A 17,817-nucleotide genomic window follows, 5' to 3' on the forward strand; every position below is an offset into this window, starting at 1 on the left:
AAAAATAAAAAAATTTGTTGGGCGTTGTGGCAAACGCCTGTAATCCCAGCTACTTGGGTGGCTGAGGCAGAAGAATTGCTTGAACCCAGGAGCCAGAGGTTGCAGTGAGCCAAGATCACACACTGAACTCCCAGCCGGGGCGACAGAGTGAGACTCCATCTCAAAAACAAACAAACAAACAAACAAAAATAGTGAATTGGTAACAGGTGAATTTTAGAATTGAAAGGTAACTTAGTACCATGCTCTCAACTTGAGATAGTGAGAAGTCTGTGTCAGAATAATTTTTGTACTTGGAATCTTGGCCTGGTGTGGTGGCCACTTTGGGAGGCAGAGGCAGGAGGATCACTTGAGCCCAGGAGCTCGAGACCAGCCTGGCCAACATAGCAGGACCCCCACCTCTGTAAAATAAAATAAAAAAGAATATTTGTATTTAGAATCTTTCTGATGTCTAATGACAGGAAAAAATCTAACTCAAAGTGGCTTAAGCCACTTTGAGGAAAGTGTAGGAACTTGTATGGTGATCTCTTTGTGGTGGGTGTTCTGGTTCCAGGACCCCTGAGGATACCAAAATCCAAGGATGCTCAAGTCCCTTATATAAAATGTAGTATTTGCATATAATCTATGCACATCCTCCCCTATAATTTAAATCAACTCTACATTAATTATACCTAACACAATATAAGTAAATGGTTGTTATGCTGTATTATGTTTTATTCTTTTAAAAAATATTTTTGATCTGCAGTTGGTTGCAGGAACCTGAAGATACAGAGGGCTGACTGTATGTTCAAGTAACTGGGAATTCAGGCTGGGCTTTGTGGCTCCCACCTGTAATCCCAGCACTTTGCGAGGCTGAGGCGGGCGGATCACCTGAAGTCAGGAGTTCAAGACCAGCCTGGCCAACATGGTGAAACCCCGTCTCTACTAAAAATACAAACATTAGCCGGGTGTGGTGGTGCACACCTGTAATCCCAGCTACTTGGGAGGCTGAGGCACAAGAATTGCTTGAACCTGGGAGGTGGAGGTTGCAGTGAGCCGAGACCTCGCCGATGCACTCCAGCCTGTGCAACAGAGCAAGACTCCATCTCAAAAAAAAGAAAAAAAAAAAAGCCTTCTTAAGCAAGACTCTCCATGGCTCCTTATTTCCCACCTTGCAGTTCTCCTTCCCACTGTGTTGGGTCTACCTCAGGCTGCTTCTTCCCTCCTGGAAACAGGCTGGCTGCCCCGGCTCAGGACTGTGCTAATCAGGGGAAATAGCACACCTCTCTCTGGTTGGCCTATGAACAGTGCTGGATCAGCAGCTGACTGGTCTGACTGGATTACTCATCCTCATTCCTAATGGTGGGGGAGGCACAAGGGAAGGACTAAGAACTTGGATGATTTAATTAATCCAGAATGGTTACCTCCCTACCCCTGAAAAAGAGGGGTGTAGGACCCAACCACATTCAAATCAATAATATGTACTACTGTGAGAAAGGTGGTTTCCCAAAGAAAATCAAGAGATATTCCTACAACATATGATTCCCATTCTGTGTCTGTACCAAAAACCCTGATATGTCTCCTTGAAGCTTCAGGTAGTCGAGGGTCCAGACAAGAGTAGTGGTCGTATAAGTTTAAAGGAATATTAAAATACTCCACAGGACTAGGTGTGGTGGCTCCCATCTGTAATCCCAGTACTTTGGGAGGCCAAGGTGGGCAGATCACTTGAAGCCAGGAGTTCGAGACCAGCCTGGCCAACGTGATGAAACCCCATCTCTACTAAAAATACAAATATCAGCCTGGCGTGGTGGCGCATGCCTGTAGTCCCAGCTACTCGGGAGGTTGAGGTAGGAGAATCGCTTGAACCTGGGAGGTGGAGGCTGCAGTGAGCCGAGATGGAGACTGTGCCACTGCACTCCAGCCTGGGTGACAGAGTGAGACAACAACAACAACAACAACAACAAAAAACACCTCTAAAGCAAGTGGATAATTCATTTGTCTGAAGTCGCTAGAAGATGAAAAGTTGTGGATGGCCAGGGGAGGTTCAGAATGTTTTTGTTACTAGAGGTAGAGGGATTAAGAGAGTTCCACTGAAAGACAACACACTTGACTAGACTTGACTAGCACCACACACAAAAACAAACAAACACACAAACAAAAAACAGGAAAAGTGGTGGGAAAGAATGGGAAAATGAGATGGGAAAAGAAAAATTTTAAAAGGCCAGCATTTATTTATTTATTTATTTATAAGACACGGTCTCATTCGATTACACTGGAATGCACTGGAGTGCAGTGGCACGATCTTGGCTCATTGCAGCCTCAACTTCTCAGGTTCAGGCGATTCTCCCACCTCAGCTTTCTGAGTAGCTGGACTACAGGTTCCCATCACCACGACTAACTTTTTGTATTCTTAGTAGAGACAGGTTCTCCCCATGTTGCCTAGGCTGGTCTCAAACTCTTGGTCTAAAGTGGTCCACCAGCCTAGGCCTCCCAAAATGCTGCGATTACAGGCGTGAGCCACTGCACCCAGCCGGCCAGCATTTTTAAAAGCAGTGATTGTGCCAGATGATTTACATACATCATTTCTCTTAATTAAATAATTTAACAGCCCAGCACAGTGGTTCACGCCTGTAATCCCAGCACTTTGAGAGACTTGTTTGAGGCCAGGAGTTTAAGACCAATCTCAGGAGTTGGATTGGTCTCGAACAACTCAAACAACTCTCCCAAGGTGGTAGAATCGTTTGAGGCCAGGAGTTCAAGACCAATCTGGGCAGCAAAGTGAGACTCCTCTACAAAAAAATCAAAAAATTAGCCAGGCATGGTGGCTAATTTTAACCCATGAGGTCCAGCCCACGAGGTCCAGGTTGTGGTGAGCGAAGTTTGCTCCACTGCCCTCCCGCCTGAGTAAGAGAGCAAGACCCTGTCTCAAAAAAAAAAAAAAAAAAAAAAGGCCAGGTGCCGTGACTCATGGCTGTAATCCCAGCACTTTGGGAGGCAGAGGAGGGTGGATGGCTTTGAGCTCAGGAGTTCTAGACCAGCCTGGGCAACATGGTGAAATCCTGTCTCTACAAAAAATACGAAAATTAGCTGGGCATCTGTGCTCGCGCCTGTGGTCCTAGTCGTTGGGGAGGCTGAGGTAGGAGAATTGCTCGAGCCCGGCAGGTGGACGTTGCCGTGAGGCGAGATCGAACCACTGTACTCCAGCCTGGGTGACAGAGCCAGACCCAGAGTCTCAAAAATAAATAACTAACTAAAAATAAACAAATATGTATTGCTTGACTGCTGTATCGTTTCCAAGCCCTGGGGATGCAGGTGTGACCACAATTGGCCAAAGTGACAAAACCTAACATCTGTAACGCTGCAAGCCTGGGGTTATTTTATACAGAGGAAATAGAGAGGTTAAACGTTCTTCTCAGGATGCTTCAGCCAGTAACTAGCAGTGGGGGCTGGGGCCAAATCCAGGACTGCCTGACTCCAGAGCCTTTGATTTGATAGAAGGAAAGAAAATGAAAAAGAGGAGAAAAGCTTACATAGAGGAGGGGAACAAATCAAGGCAAATATAAGTGAGCCAGAAAAAAAAATCTAGACGAGAGAGAAATAAGAAAAGGTTTGCTAGGATCCCCTTCTCCCCTTTTACAGGTGAGGAAACTAGGCTGAGATGTAATAAATCTGTATTTTTTTCCTCCACTACAGATAAACCTTTTAGAACCACAATAAGAGGTAAGGCTTCAAAAGAAAAATACCTGGGAAAGTTAAAACATATTAATTGGCTGGCCGGGTGCTGTGGCTCACGCCTGTAATACCAGCACTTTGGGAGGCCGAGGCGGGAGAATCGCCTGAGGTGGCGAGTTCGAGACCAGCCTGACCAGCATGGTGAAACCCCGTCTCTATTAAAAATACAAAAATTAGCCGGGTGTGGTGGCAGGTGCCTGTAATCCCAGCTACTCGGGAAGCTGAGGTAGGCGAATCGCTTGAACCCGGGAGGCGGAGTTTGCAGTGAGCCGAGGTCGCGCCATTGCACTCCAGCCTGGGCAACAGAACGAGACTCCATCTCAAGAAAAAAAAAAAAAGAAAAAAGAAAAAAAAAAACATAATAATTGGCATATCTTTCAGCTAAGAGGGAATAAATAAAAAGACAGGTTCTTTTTCTCTCTTTTTTTTTTTGTGCAGTGGTAGGATCTCAGCTCACGGCAACCTCCGCCTCCTGGGTTCAAGCGATTCTCCTGCTCTCAGCCTCCCAAGTAGCTGGGATTACAGGCGCCTGCCACCATGCCCGGCCATTTGTATTTTTAATAGAGACGGGATTTCACCATGTTGGCCAGGCTGGTCTTGAACTCCTGACCTCAAGTGATCCGCCTGCCTCGGCCTCCCAAAGTGCTGGGATTACAGGCATGAGCCACCGCGCCCGGCCCTTGGTGATTTTTCTAACCCAATCACAGTCTCTCTCCCCTTAATTACTCTTGCGGCTCTGTCTTCGTAAGGGAAGTGGCCCGGACAAAATACATGCCAGGCAGTGCAACGGCTGCTAGGAGAAAGGCTCGAGATACCCCTCCTGGCATTTGCTTGGGGGCCAGAATTTACATTCAATCTTCTTCAGAAACTTCCCTTTCCGGGTGTTTGCTAAAGGTGATAGTTTCCAGGTCACCTGACCGGTCTCCTTTGCTGTCGGCGCCAAGTCCTGCAAGTTTGCTTGAGAGACGAGAAACCAGCAAGAGTTGGGCAAACTTTCCAAACCAGGCTTTTCCTTCAGTGTGGAATCTAGGCGGCCACAGTCTGGTGCCAGCTGGGTCACAAACAGCTCCGTGACCTGTTTGTAAACGCGATGCTCTTAGTTCCAGACTAACCGCTCACAAGGGTGAAGCACTTAATTAATTCATCTCTTAATCTTGTTAGGGGCCAACGGCTCCTATTAGTGTTTGAGCGTGACGGCGACGGTGCTGTTTATGAAGCCCTAGCCTATTTGGAGGTGAGGAAGAGGAGTCTGTGGGTAACCTGGAGGTCGACAGACCGGGAGGAACGCTCGAGGGAGCACCAGGCCTGTTACAACGAGCGCGCGCCGACGCACGTCTCCACCCACCCGGCGCAACCGCCAGAGCGCGCTCCCAGCAACCGCGGCTCTCGCTGCGTTTGTAGCCATACGTCACGGCCTCTTCTGCTTCTCATTGGGGGAGCCCGTCCAATCATGTGATTCCAGTATGGCGTATAAATAAAGGCGAGGAGAAGGCGGTGGTCCGCCATTTCGTGGACGCCGGGTGAGTGAGAGAGTTGGTTGGTGTTGGGCCGGAGGAAAGCGGGAAGACTCATCGGAGCGTGTGGATTTGAGCCGCCGCATTTTTTAACCCTAGATCTCGGTAAGAGACCAGCGAAAGAGGGAATGAGGTGGAAATGGAATTTAACAGTACCAAGGAGCCAGGCCCAATGGCGGCGCCAGATTGAGACAAAGAGGCGCCGCCGCCATTTTGTGACGTTCAGCACGGGGCGGTGGCGGGGGCTCCCGGCCCATCGGAGGGTTTCCTAGTCTTGGAGTGGAAGTCTTTATATTCCTCATTGGGGCATGAGCCAGGATGGGGGTTACCTGGGAGTTGGGAACCACAAAGGGGAGCCGATAGCCGAGTTGTATTCCAGGTCACGGCCTTTTTATTTTTATGGCGCCTTTTTTTTTTTTGGCCCCTCATTTAATTGGGAAGCTTCTCAGAATGTTTTTGTAAAGTCACTAACCAAGACCGGACCTTTCAGTTCATATTAAATGGCCCCCGTAGTCACCTTACTTTCATGTAGTTTCAGATTTTGCAGCCTGAATCTAATCACCTTTTTCTAAGACCGAAAGATCTTCCTTGAACTTAAGATTCGTTCTTTCATCGCTTCCCATTAAAATGGAGGCTTAAGACAGGTGCCAGCAGTGTTTTTAAAAATTTTCACCAGTGGTTTGGTCTTAGAACTTACTCCTGGGCACAGGGTGTGGTCACGGCAAATAGGATGTGTCTGGACTGGATATTTTAATTAGACAAGCCCAGAGTAAGAAGAACGTGGTGTTTATGGAAAGCACTTCAGCTGAATTATTGAGTAGATGGTTTTTATGTAATTGAAACTGGTCTACAAGTTTATCAGATTCATCGTCGAAGTGACTCAGTAATAAAGCTTTATCAAATACAAGTCCGCCAAGGAAGAACAAAAAAATAAGTCCCCAAAGTGCAGTAAATTTTTTAGTAGCAAATATCTCTTTGTAATTTTTTATTAAAGTGAAATTATCTTTAAGTGGTATTTAGTATATTCAGTGTTGTGTAATCATCACTTACACGTAGTTCCAAAACATTTCCGTCACCTCCCCCCGCAGGAGACTACTACCCATTGAGCACTTACTCCCAGATTCCCTGTCCCCCTTCCTCTAGTCCCTAGCAACCACTAATCTTCCTGTCTCTCTGAACTTAGCTATTTTAGATATTTAGTATTTATGGAATCGTGTACTTTTATGTCTGGCTTCTTTAACTTAGCGTAATGTTTTCAAGATTTTCCAACGTTGGAGGATTTGTCAGTACATCATTCTGAATAATACTCATTTTATGTCTATACCACATTTTGCTTATCCGTTTCTGTTGATGGACATTTGGGTTAACATCTTTGGGCTACTGTGAATAAGTGCTACTATGAGTTTACATTTTTTAAAAAACTGTAAAGTTGGTCTCGTTGCTTGATAAATTTTTACCGCGTAAGACTCTGGTCTATCTAATGACATTTGATACTAGCCTTGTTCCTATAGTTCCAAATGACCAAAATAGGCATTTATTTATTTATTTATTTGTGGTTTTTTTTTGGCGATGGAATCTCGCTCTGTCGCCGAGGCTGGAGTGCAGTGGCGCGATCTCGGCTCACTGCCACCTCCGCCTCGCGGGTTCAAGCGATTGTTCTGCCTCAGCCTCCCGAGTAGCTGGGACTACAGGTGTGCGCCACCATGCCCGGCTAATTTTTGTATTTTTAGTTGTGACGGGGTTTCACCATATTGGCCAGGCTGGGTCGAACTCCTGACCTCGTGATTCGCCCGCCTCGGCTTCCCAAAAGTTCTGGGATTGCAGGTGTGAGCCGCCGCGCCCGGTCCATGGGCATTTTTTTAAAAGTGAAAATCGTTGGCCTTATTTTTATTAAAGCTGGTAAGTTTTGGCTTATGTAGGTACTTTGAATCGCTTGCCTGGTAGTATAACCTTAAGGACTAGCTTTCTTCATCATTGTTTTATTTAGTTTTGAGTCCCCAACAGAATTCTCTTCTGTTTTTCTAGAAATGCTTTATTTTGGGGATTAAATGAAATAACAGGTTAAGTCTCTTAACTCACGGCCCAGATGGTGGTAAATGCTCCTCCAGTTGTTCTCAACGTTCCAAGGAAGCTGTTTTTTTCTTCACTAATTGCTGGCTTCCTGAGGGTTAGGAGTAAAGATAATGGGGCGGGGTGGCGGGGGGGGGGAAATGGGTGCTTAGCAGTAACATTTCTTGTTTGGTTTCTAGCATTTTTGTAATTTTTTTTTCTTTACGTGCTACCTTAAACTCTCTTGTCCTCTCTAATGGAGTTCTTTCTAAGGATCTGTGGTTTTAACTGTAGATGTTTAGATGAATGAATATTTTTGGTATTTTTCATTACAGAAATGCATCGTGATTCCTGTCCATTGGACTGTAAGGTTTATGTAGGCAATCTTGGAAACAATGGCAACAAGACGGAATTGGAACGGGCTTTTGGCTACTATGGACCACTCCGAAGTGTGTGGGTTGCTAGAAACCCACCCGGCTTTGCTTTTGTTGAATTTGAAGATCCCCGAGATGCAGCTGATGCAGTCCGAGAGCTAGATGGAAGGTGATTTAATGATTACGCTGATAAAAATGTGTTGCTTGTGTTTTTCATATTTAAAATCTACAGGATATGTGGCTCTTAGATGGCTTTCCCAATCACTGGCCAATTGTATCTTTAGATACAATTGGGATCTTTTTTTTTTTTTTTTTTTTTGGTGGGGAGACGAGTCTTGCACTGTCACTGGGCTGGAGTGCAGTGGTACAGTCTCCCGCTCCCCGCAACCTCGGCCTCCGGGGTTCAAGTGATTCTCCTGCCTCAGCCTTCTGAGTAACTGGGACTACAGGCGTGTGCCATCATGCGGGGCTGATTTTTGTATTTCTAGCAGAGATGGGGTTTCACCATGTTGGCCAGGCTGGTCTCGAACTCCTGACCCCAGGTGATCTGACCGCCTTGACCTCCCAAAGTGCTGGAATTACAGGTGGGAGCCACTGTGCCCAGCCAGGATCAAATATTTTTAAGAGTAGTTGTGAACTGATCCTTGTTTAAAAAATTGTTTACAAAATGGTTACATGGGTTGGTTGTACCTTTACTTTTATGTGTTTGAAATACTCCAGAAAGTGAATCACTTACTATTTCCCTTTGTGTTAATAGTGTCCTGTTAGCTGGCTGAGTAAGGCCTGAGTATTGACCTCCATGCCCCCACCCCCCTTTCCTCATATTTGGAAGTATAATGGGAAAAAGGAGCTGAGTGTTCACTGTAAAGCTGCATGAAAGGTTGGTCAATTCAAGCAGGTTGTAGTAAAGTTTTCCAGGGCCCACCTCTTCCCAGTCACTCTTCAAATATGATAGCTTATCTAAATTTAATGACTGGTTGTATTAAGGGTGAGGAATAATGGTCTTTTTTTTTTTTTTTTACTACTGTGAGCTATAATTTCTTTTTTTAAAAAAATGTATATTTATTATTTAAAAAATAATACAGACGACAGTCTGTGTTGCCCAGGCTGGCCTCAAGCTCCTGGGCTCAAGCCATCCTCCTGCCTCAGCCTCTCTGAGTGCTGGGATTACAGGCATGAGCCACCTCACCTGGCCACAGCTATAATTTCTTCTGTGCTGACTGTTGAGGGGAGAGGGTGCTGTAAAATGGCCAAAATGGTTCTGTCTTGTCTTGAACTGATTTTTTACTTGGAGTGGGGCAGGGGGAGACCAATAAATACAGCCTGGTAAATAACTGAAATAAGTGCAGGGACTTCAAGGGAAGAAATCATAATGAAGATACAGGAGAACTTGTTTTTCAAGGATAAATGGATCTTCACACTTAAATTGCAACTGTTAACAAATTAACATTGAGCTCAGTAATCAGACTGGCTCTAACAATTAGGTGATAAAATAGAATTTGACTTCCTTGTGAATTGGTACTTTAGAAAATCCTATTTGTTTAATTTGAAATTAATTGAAATTTTAATTTGAAACTGGGAAACAAGCTTATTTTATTTTTCAAGACAGAGTCTTGCTCTGTCCCCCAGGCTGGAGTGCAATGGTGTGATCTTGGCTCGTTGTAACCTCTGCCTACTGGGTTCAAGTGATTCTCCTGCCTCAGCCGCCTGAGTAGCTGGGATTACAGGCATGTACCACCACACCTGGCTATTTTTTGTATTTTTAGTAGAGCGAGGGTTTCACCACGTTGGCCAAGATAGTGTCGAACTCTTGACCTTGTGATCCGCCTGCCTCGGCCTCATAAAGTGTTGGGATTACAGGCGTGTACCACCGTGCCTGGCCAAAGCTCATTTTATATTAGTAAAAATAAGGGAGCTAGAAATTTGATGTTAAATTGCACAGACACTTAGGTGTGTTCTTTGCAGAATAGCCAACTGAGAGTACTTTTGGCTTTAATACGCATGTCAGAAAGTCAGGCTGTTTTAAGTTTAATATCTTTGCCCCCTCAGAACACTATGTGGCTGCCGTGTAAGAGTGGAACTGTCGAATGGTGAAAAAAGAAGTAGAAATCGTGGCCCACCTCCCTCTTGGGGTCGTCGCCCTCGAGATGATTATCGTAGGAGGAGTCCTCCACCTCGTCGCAGGTACTTGAGAGAAAGCTTGTTAAGAGGTATTGGTGTAATGGAGTAGCTAGTAGGAGCAGGTATTTCTCTTAAGTTTGTTGGTGGGTTTTAAACTTTGGAAGAATCGGAGGTTTCTGTGAAACATTTGTTGGGTGTAATTTGGGGTATGTGAGTTGTGCTGAGTGTTGGCTTTTGTCTTTAGGTCACTGTTCATGTTGGTAGTCAGTAACTTCTATCTTGGATCTGTCTTCTAGTTCATCTTTCTAGTTGCATCTTTCCAAATCTTCCCTTATACTTCAGTTTAGGCCTTTTTCCATTTCTTGGCTCCATAATGACAAACATTACATTCAACTCTAGCTCTTCACAAATTTGTGTTTTCTACTATTAGCACAATTGTAATATTTATCAAACAGGCAGCTGTTTTAATGTTACAACTGGTAAAGTAGAAATCATTCTGAGACTAACTTAAGTCACTGACCAATAAAGGGGGCTAAAAAAGAAGTAATCCCAGTCATCTGTTCTTCAATCCCAAATAGGAGAAAATTCAGTTTTTTTATAATTGAAAATGGCATCATTCTTGGACCAGGCAGTATTGTCTGGGTGCTAACTCCACATCTCCTCAGACCTCCAAAATAGTTTCTATAGGACTAAATTTACCTCTTACAGGTGAGTGGAGTCCTTCTAGGAGACAGGAGTTCAAAATCTTGCCCCTTTTGCTATTTTGAAAAACAACAGCACACTGTTGCCCATCATAATAAAGAGTATTTGTTAGCTAATAGATGGTTGTACTGATGGCTTGTTTTTCATTTTTTTTGTGCTTTTTGGTCCATCTATTAATAAAAATGAACCCCGTTACAGAGTCACCATCATGTCTCTTCTCACCACCCTCTGAATCTGCATTAGCCAGTCAACTAGCCCTTTCAGCGTCATGTGACCAGCGCGCCCCATTCAGCTTGGCTGGTGTCGTTTCACATGACCCAGGCTGGCCAGTCGTCAGGTTGCACCGCCCTTTGGTTCCCGAGCATGCTGTTTTCTCTCAGCCTTCTCTCCAACCTTAACCAAATCGGCAGCAGCCACCTCGACCGCCCACACATTCCTGGCCAATCAGCTCAGCTGTTTATTTACCAAATGTCTTCACAACAACTACAGCAGCAGCCTTCGGCTAACAAAAAAGCAGGAAAAATCCACAACACCCCCTTCGCCAACCAACTAAATCCAACGCAACATCTGGCAAAACCTTTTCAGCAAATTCTTCCTGGCCGTCAGTCCGGCAGCCTCACCTCACCATTTCTAGCTTGTTGAAACCCAAAACTAGTAAGTTTTTCCTGCTTATACAGTTTACTGCTGGTTAAAATAAGGAGTAAGCGGCTTAAAGTAATTCTTTTTTCTGGATCAAAGGCTGGCTGTGCATAATTGAATGGTAACGTACATATATATTGCTTGAAAAACTTTTAAGGGTGATAGGGAACTCGTAATGTAACTAGGCCTTCAAGTGAAACTTATTTGCATGTGCAAGATGCCAAACTAAAAATTTTAATATCTCTAACAGATTAGCTTTTCTGGCAAAAATTTGTTGAATCCTATCACCTTTAAATGGTTTTACTAACAGTTTCAAAATTTAAAATTTTGGGGTTGAAGTGTGGGCCAAGCTAAGGTAATTTTGGTAAGCCTAAACACACTCTTAAATGTGACGATCACAAATGCAGTTCTAATGTAGCACTTAATGGCATCAATATTTACACCTACCGCGTTTTCACAAAATTACACTATCCACCTGGTACCTAAGTCTTGTCATGGACTTACAGGTTTGCATGGGTTCCAAATACTGGTTTATGGTACTGTTTTTGGAACTACTTGTGGGACTATATTTTGGTGTGGTGTTTGGGTAGTGAAGTTAGTTTGACATGAAGTTTTGCATTGGACAGATCTGCTGTGAAGCATTCTTTGTTAAAGTGAATCCATGGTTGGAATACCTGCTTTTCACTTGAGCTTTTTGTTTCTTAATCCTTCTGTGCCTTTTTTTTCTTTTCTTTTTTTTCTTTTTTTTTTTTTTTTTTTTTTTTTGGACGATGGGTGCCAGTTCTTCGGCACATTCACTGGGCCCAACAGTGAGATTGAAAAGTTGGGAAATGCCTCACGCCATAAATACTAATTGATGATGAGCCTAATTTTCCTGTTTCTGCTTTTAGATCTCCAAGAAGGAGAAGCTTCTCTCGCAGCCGGAGCAGGTAAATGACTACCTTTTTTGGCTACGTTCTTAGAAATGGCAGTGTTTCTGCTATTCCTAAACTTTTCCAGGTGGCTTAGTTAATGGGAATAAACCTTGGCTTTAATAGTGAATCAAGTTGTAAGGATGAGTCAGCTTTCTTTGAGTTTTCAAAGGCTTTTTAGAAAGTATTTAATTTTTTAAAAAAGGATCTGTCACCCAGGCTGGAGTGCAGTGGTGTGATTATAGCTCACTGTAGCCTTTAACTCCTGGCCTTGGAGTGATCCTCCCTCTTCAGCCTCCTGAGTAGCTTGGACTACAGGCAAGTACTGCCATACCTGGCTAATTTATTTTTTGTGGAGATGGGATCTCACTTTGTTGTCCAATCTGTTCTCAAACTCTTGGCTTCAAGTGAGCCTCCTGCCTCTGCCTCCCAAAATATTGGAATTATTGGCATGAGTCACCATGCCAGATCAAGAAAATATTTATGTATAATTTTATCATACCTCATTGGTCCTAATGTTTTTTTGCTTGTTTAGGTCCCTTTCTAGAGATAGGAGAAGAGAGAGATCGCTGTCTCGGGAGAGAAATCACAAGCCGTCCCGATCCTTCTCTAGGTCTCGTAGGTAAGATCTTTGATAACTTGTATTTAAGACTTTGCATACATAGTATGCTAAGGCCTGTCTTCTAAGCCATAAATTTTTTACCTTAAAGTTCTATTTCGATATGTCACTAAAGTGTCACCAAGTTACAGATGTAATGTTTTGTTTTCTTTTTTTTTTTTTTTTTTTAGTCGATCTAGGTCAAATGAAAGGAAATAGAAGACAGTTTGCAAGAGAAGTGGTGTACAGGAAATTACTTCATTTGACAGGAGTATGTACAGAAAATTCAAGTTTTGTTTGAGACTTCATAAGCTTGGTGCATTTTTAAGATGTTTTAGCTGTTCAAATCTGTTTGTCTCTTGAAACAGTGACACAAAGGTGTAATTCTCTATGGTTTGAAATGGATCATACGAGGCATGTAATACCAAGAATTGTTACTTTACAATGTTCCCTTAAGCAAAATTGAATTTGCTTTGAACTTTTAGTTATGCACAGACTGATAATAAACCTCTAAACCTGCCCAGCGGAAGTGTGTTTTTTTTTAAATTTAAATACAGAAACAACTGGCAAAAATTGAACTAAGATTTACTTTTTTTTCCATAGCTGGGATATAGGCTGCAGCTATAGTTGAACAAGCAGTCTTTAAAAACTGCTGTGAAACACAGGCCATCAGGGAAAACGAAATGCTGCACTATTAAATTAGAGGTTTTTGAAAAATCCAACTCTCATCCTGGGCAGAGGTTGCCTAGTTGGTATAGAATGTTAAGTTTCAAGAAAGTTTACCTTTGCTTTAGGTCATAAGTTCCTTATTTGATTGCTGTATATGGATACATGGCTGTTCGTGACATTCTTTATGTGCAAATTTGTGATTTCAAAAATGTCCTGCCAGTTTAAGGGTACATTGTAGAGCCGAACTTTGAGTTACTGTGCAAGATTTTTTTTTCATGCTGTCATTTGTAATATGTTTTGTGAGAATCCTTGGGATTAAAGTTTTGGTTACAAATTGTTCTTTAACTTGAAAGCCTGTTTTTCCTTGCAAACTCAAATCTGTGAGCTTGGTACCAAGTCCAGGTATAACATTCCTATTGGAAGCCATACTTATATTTTCTTGTAAAGTGCTTTTGAATTAATAAAATATTAGCATAATTGTGTATAGTCAGTTGAACCCACTGTTACCATTGTTCTTATCCCATGGGAAGCAGTTGGTTACACGATTCTTATTTTATAAGAAACAGCTGAGAGGCACTATGGATTAGTCTTCTGAAGTGAAGGAAATATAGATGTCACCTAAGTGATAGTTAACCCATTTTTTTTTTTTTTAGGCATAGAAGCCAGTTCAGGGTCCATAATATTTAGTGACCAACATTTTAAAGTATAGCAGCAACCTGGTTCTTAAACACAAAGTAAGTTGCCCATTAACAAATGGCTTTTATCTTTAGCATGAAAACTTTCCACAGGTCTAAAAATTGCTTCCATTTTATAATTTGAGGTGTTGCATGGGAATTCTAAGCTGATCCATCATGATGTAAAAGTTCACAATATGGTTCAAATGTAACAGTGCAGAATTGAATATGGAGGCATGCATAACCTTCCTCTTAGAAAATGGCAGGTGTTGTAATTTCAAATTTTTGTGCAATTAGATTAAATCATAATGCAACAGTCTTGTGGCTTAGTTTCCTTAAATATGCTCTTAAGATAGTTTTGGATTATGCGGTATTGACTGTCTTAAATATGAAAGATAAGTCATTGCATTAAGAGTTCAAGCTAAATGGATACATTAAGATACAGTTCCTAAACAAATTATTTATTTCCACCTTTTACACAAATCTTGGGAGAATTGGTGTCAGGAAGGTTCAGCCTTAAAGTTAAGCATGTTCAAGAAAGACACTTTTCAGACAGCCTGTTTATTTACTGAGAGCTCTGGCATTGGGCATTTTGTCTTTAGTATTCTCACATAGCCTACAACCTGTTCCTGTTAGGAACAAGCCAAGATAGCTAAGAAGTTACGGAAGCCATGCAATATGTCAATTACATTGCTTTTTATAAATGGACAACTTATGTGGGCATTTTTGGGCAGTATATGACTTCCTTGCAGGCTCTTAAGTTGGAAGGGTTTCTGTAAAAAGGACAGTTACGGGTATAATATGGCTAAGAGAAATAATACAGAACCTGAAATAAAAGTAACTTCACCAGGGAGTTATCCTGACTTAGGTGACATACAGTCCCAGTTGGCAGTTACTTTAACCAGGAGCCCTAGCATAACCTCAAGACTCTTAGAAACTTTAGAACATGGAAATTGTTAAAAGCTTTGAATTGCACATTTAGATTGTGGCTATTAGGAATTTTTAAAGTTGTAATTCCTAAAATAACAGGTCACACTAACCGGTCTTGTCCATATTCAGGGTTGAGTGTAAAAATGAAAGGAATCACAAAACTGAACTTAGACCTGTGGTTTAAGGATCAAGGTGTTCACTAGAAGTCACTGTTACTAATACTTGATGACAATGTAAAGAAACATTAAGGATTATATTTGATTGTTTTCAAAGACACTGGCTGGATGTGGTGGCTCACACTTGTAATTCCTAGCACTTTGGGAGGCTAGGGCGGGTGGGAGGATCTCTTGAAGCCAGGAGTTGGAGACCAGTCTGCCCAACATGGCAAGATTCACATTTCTATTAAAAGGAATATTTAGTTTGATCTCTGGTTCACAGTTCATTGTGGGTTGCTTCTGACCTCCATGTCTTAAGCAGAAAGTAGGGAAGTTGTAGTTTTACCAAGCACAGGTACCCTGTGTCTACCATTTGAGTATCTTAGAGATCCTTACAAACGTGATCCCGTCAGCGTCCATGACACTCCCACCCTGTTAGACTGCTGTCAGTGGCTTTCACACAAACCCATATGTGGATGGAAAATCCAGGTTATTACTACATTCATTTTAGTACAGTGCTGCCTAATTAGAAATTTTGTTGAAGAGGTATTTCAGAATAGATACAGCCAGACTCCAGGCTCATTGACTTAGTTTTTCAGGGTGACCTAACCCTGTGTAATTTTGAGGAGTTCTACATGATAAATACCCTTGGTGATGTGAGAACCACTAGTTTAGTATTTTGTCCAAGTATGCTTTTTTTCAGAGTTCTGAATGAGATTTAGTTGTCATACCTAGTTGGTGGTAATTTCTTAGTTGTATATTTTTGTACTACCAGATTGTTGCCTTCTGGTTTTCCATCTTTTCGAGAAAGATTTCTAGTTAAAGTTACTGAAGAAAAACTGGGTTGGAAGTACATTTTTCTCTAAATAATCCAGTAGTGTTGAATTTGATTTTATGTCCACTCTAATTTTTTTCATCCTGTTTTATTAGGGGGATTCATCGGGTACCTGAAGATAATTCAGCTGTAGACCCCTTAAGGTTCTGAGACAAGGTCATTGAAATTTGTTTTGGCTGGGTGTGATGGCTCATGCCTGTAATCCCGGTGCATTGGGAGGTTGAGGCAGGTGGATCACTTGTGGTCAGGAGTTGGAGACCAGCTTGGTCAACATGGTGAAACCCCGTCTCTACTAACAGTACAAAAATTAGCTGGGTGTGGTGGCAGGCGCCTATAATGCCAGCCACTTGGGAGGCTGAGGCAGGAGAAGTGCTTAAACCTGGTGGGTGGAGGTTGCCATGAGCCGAGATGTAGCCACTTCACTCCAGCCTGAGTGAAAGCAAAACTTCGTCTCCAAAAAAAAAAAAAAAGTTTGTTTTGGTAAGCCTAGTATAATTGATTAGTTTTGTCCATGCAACTTTCCCCTTGTTGGACTCTGTACTTAATAATACAGTATTTAGATTCTCATTTAGTATCCTGCTTTCTCTGTCGATTTGATGAAGGTACCCAAAATGATTCCTAAACTAACACATGAAATACGTGTGTAAAACATTGCTGTTTTAATCTTTAGTTTTCCTCATTTCTGATGTAAGGCATTGTATAGTTGTTCTACTATAAAAGATGTAGAATATGGCCATGTAGTGCCTCACTGTAAGTTAGTACATGTGTCTTGAGCAAGTGGAAATATCAAAACATTGATACTTTGCTTCTCCCTAATCATTTGGAATGTCCTGAGATGGATACTATTTCCAGGGCAAAATTAAACCTTCCAGAAAAGTAGTCTATAGGTTGAAGGAGTCCTCCTCTTTTGAAAGCCTTGTTCATTTGTGGTTGTGCACCTTTATTTCAGTATATACTTCATTCAGATTTCATCTGGGGCAAGTTAGCATTCCTGTTTTTGTTTTGTTTTTTGAGACCAGTGGTGACATAGCTTACTGCAGCCTTGGCTTCTTGGGCTCAAGCGTTCCTCCCACCTCAGTCTCCCAAGTAGCTAGGACTACAGTCACACACCACCATGCCCAGCTAATTAAAAACTTTTTTTAAGAGACGTGGTTATGTTTCTCAGGCTGGTCTGGAACTCCTCAAGCGATCCTTCTGCCTCAGCCTCCCAAAGCGCTGGGATTACAGGCCTGAGTCACCTTTCCCTGGCCAAGTTAGCGTTGTTCACTGTTTTTTTATTTGCTCACAAAGCCCCAAAATGTAGAGCTAAGGGGAATGTTGTTGAAGTTGTTGCCTAATGCTGCCTGGAGCTGGGCAGTGGCAATGGGGGGTCGGGGAGGGGGTGGGGTGGAGATGTGAAGTTTATATTGGTCATTTGGAGAAGGAAATATTTGAATATTTTAAAAAAATGTTATGTAAGTCTTGAGATACAGAAGTTTATTTTTTATTTAATGTTATTTATGTATTTTTTTTTTTTTTTGAGATGGAGTCTCTCTTTGTCACCCAGGCTGGAGTGCTGTGGCTCGATCTCGGCTCACTGCCACCTTCGCCTCCCGGGTTCAAGCAATTCTCCTGCCTCAGCCTCCCGAGTAGCTGGGACTACAGGCGCGTGTCACCACGCCCAGCTGCTTTTTGTATTTTTAGTAGAGCCAGGGTTTCACCATGTTAGCCAAGCTGATCTTGAACTCCTGACCTCAAGTGATCCGCCTGCCTCGGCCTCCCAGAGTGCTGGGATTACAGGCGTGAGCCACCGTGCCCGGCCTAGAAGTTTCATTTTTGAAAGAATAACTCCTTTGGGAAACAATTCTAAATCTTAAGCTCAGGCAGCTGGTAACTTTAAAAAACCTCATCCAGCTGGCTGGCTGCCACCAGAATCTCATAATGACATTTATTTTTAGT

The 17,817-nt window shown here is 42.6% G+C and overlaps 1 protein-coding gene across 2 annotated transcripts, besides 7 other annotated features; it reads left to right on the forward strand.

Annotated features, from left to right (window-relative positions):
* Window positions 4,716-4,875: an enhancer, noted in NCBI's record as "active region_24430". NCBI's record gives its function as "activates an Ori minimal core promoter by ATAC-STARR-seq in GM12878 lymphoblastoid cells {active_cell/tissue: GM12878}" and the evidence as "EXISTENCE:reporter gene assay evidence [ECO:0000049][PMID:35858748]".
* Window positions 4,984-5,665: an enhancer, noted in NCBI's record as "NANOG-H3K27ac-H3K4me1 hESC enhancer chr6:36561915-36562596 (GRCh37/hg19 assembly coordinates)". NCBI's record gives its function as "activates a minimal SCP1, AML or CMV promoter by ChIP-STARR-seq in naive H9 embryonic stem cells {active_cell/tissue: H9 hESC(naive)}" and the evidence as "EXISTENCE:reporter gene assay evidence [ECO:0000049][PMID:30033119]".
* On the forward strand, window positions 5,208-16,446 carry SRSF3 (serine and arginine rich splicing factor 3). Of its 2 annotated transcripts, NR_036610.2 has the most exons (7): window positions 5,208-5,327; window positions 7,607-7,814; window positions 9,695-9,829; window positions 10,667-11,122; window positions 11,998-12,036; window positions 12,554-12,640; window positions 12,808-16,446. NR_036610.2 is itself a non-coding variant. In NM_003017.5 (6 exons), exons 2-6 carry the CDS (start codon window positions 7,609-7,611, stop codon window positions 12,833-12,835), a joined length of 495 nt encoding a protein of 164 aa, NP_003008.1. In that variant the 5' UTR covers window positions 5,208-5,327; window positions 7,607-7,608; the 3' UTR covers window positions 12,836-16,446. The 2 variants fall into 2 exon arrangements, 1 of the variants encoding a protein (NP_003008.1); NM_003017.5 differs by lacking the exon at window positions 10,667-11,122.
* Window positions 5,266-5,495: an enhancer, noted in NCBI's record as "active region_24431". NCBI's record gives its function as "activates an Ori minimal core promoter by ATAC-STARR-seq in GM12878 lymphoblastoid cells {active_cell/tissue: GM12878}" and the evidence as "EXISTENCE:reporter gene assay evidence [ECO:0000049][PMID:35858748]".
* Window positions 7,511-8,011: an enhancer, noted in NCBI's record as "H3K27ac hESC enhancer chr6:36564442-36564942 (GRCh37/hg19 assembly coordinates)". NCBI's record gives its function as "activates a minimal SCP1, AML or CMV promoter by ChIP-STARR-seq in naive H9 embryonic stem cells {active_cell/tissue: H9 hESC(naive)}" and the evidence as "EXISTENCE:reporter gene assay evidence [ECO:0000049][PMID:30033119]".
* Window positions 8,012-8,512: an enhancer, noted in NCBI's record as "H3K27ac hESC enhancer chr6:36564943-36565443 (GRCh37/hg19 assembly coordinates)". NCBI's record gives its function as "activates a minimal SCP1, AML or CMV promoter by ChIP-STARR-seq in naive and primed H9 embryonic stem cells {active_cell/tissue: H9 hESC(naive and primed)}" and the evidence as "EXISTENCE:reporter gene assay evidence [ECO:0000049][PMID:30033119]".
* Window positions 10,294-10,795: an enhancer, noted in NCBI's record as "H3K4me1 hESC enhancer chr6:36567225-36567726 (GRCh37/hg19 assembly coordinates)". NCBI's record gives its function as "activates a minimal SCP1, AML or CMV promoter by ChIP-STARR-seq in naive H9 embryonic stem cells {active_cell/tissue: H9 hESC(naive)}" and the evidence as "EXISTENCE:reporter gene assay evidence [ECO:0000049][PMID:30033119]".
* Window positions 10,796-11,295: an enhancer, noted in NCBI's record as "H3K4me1 hESC enhancer chr6:36567727-36568226 (GRCh37/hg19 assembly coordinates)". NCBI's record gives its function as "activates a minimal SCP1, AML or CMV promoter by ChIP-STARR-seq in naive H9 embryonic stem cells {active_cell/tissue: H9 hESC(naive)}" and the evidence as "EXISTENCE:reporter gene assay evidence [ECO:0000049][PMID:30033119]".
* Window positions 16,447-17,817: the final 1,371 nt, after the last annotated feature.

Source organism: Homo sapiens, chromosome 6 (assembly GCF_000001405.40).
Source record: "Homo sapiens chromosome 6, GRCh38.p14 Primary Assembly".
Classification (NCBI taxonomy): Eukaryota; Metazoa; Chordata; class Mammalia; order Primates; family Hominidae; genus Homo; species Homo sapiens.

Bases quoted from the DNA above. Each gene is read 5' to 3' on its own strand.
- SRSF3 (NM_003017.5), top strand. From the start codon at position 7,609: ATGCATCGTGATTCCTGTCCATTGGACTGTAAGGTTTATGTAGGCAAT. The intron at 7,815-9,694 runs GTGATTTAATGA...TTGCCCCCTCAG, and splicing joins GTCCGAGAGCTAGATGGAAG to AACACTATGTGGCTGCCGTG. The intron at 9,830-11,997 runs GTACTTGAGAGA...TTCTGCTTTTAG, and splicing joins AGTCCTCCACCTCGTCGCAG to ATCTCCAAGAAGGAGAAGCT.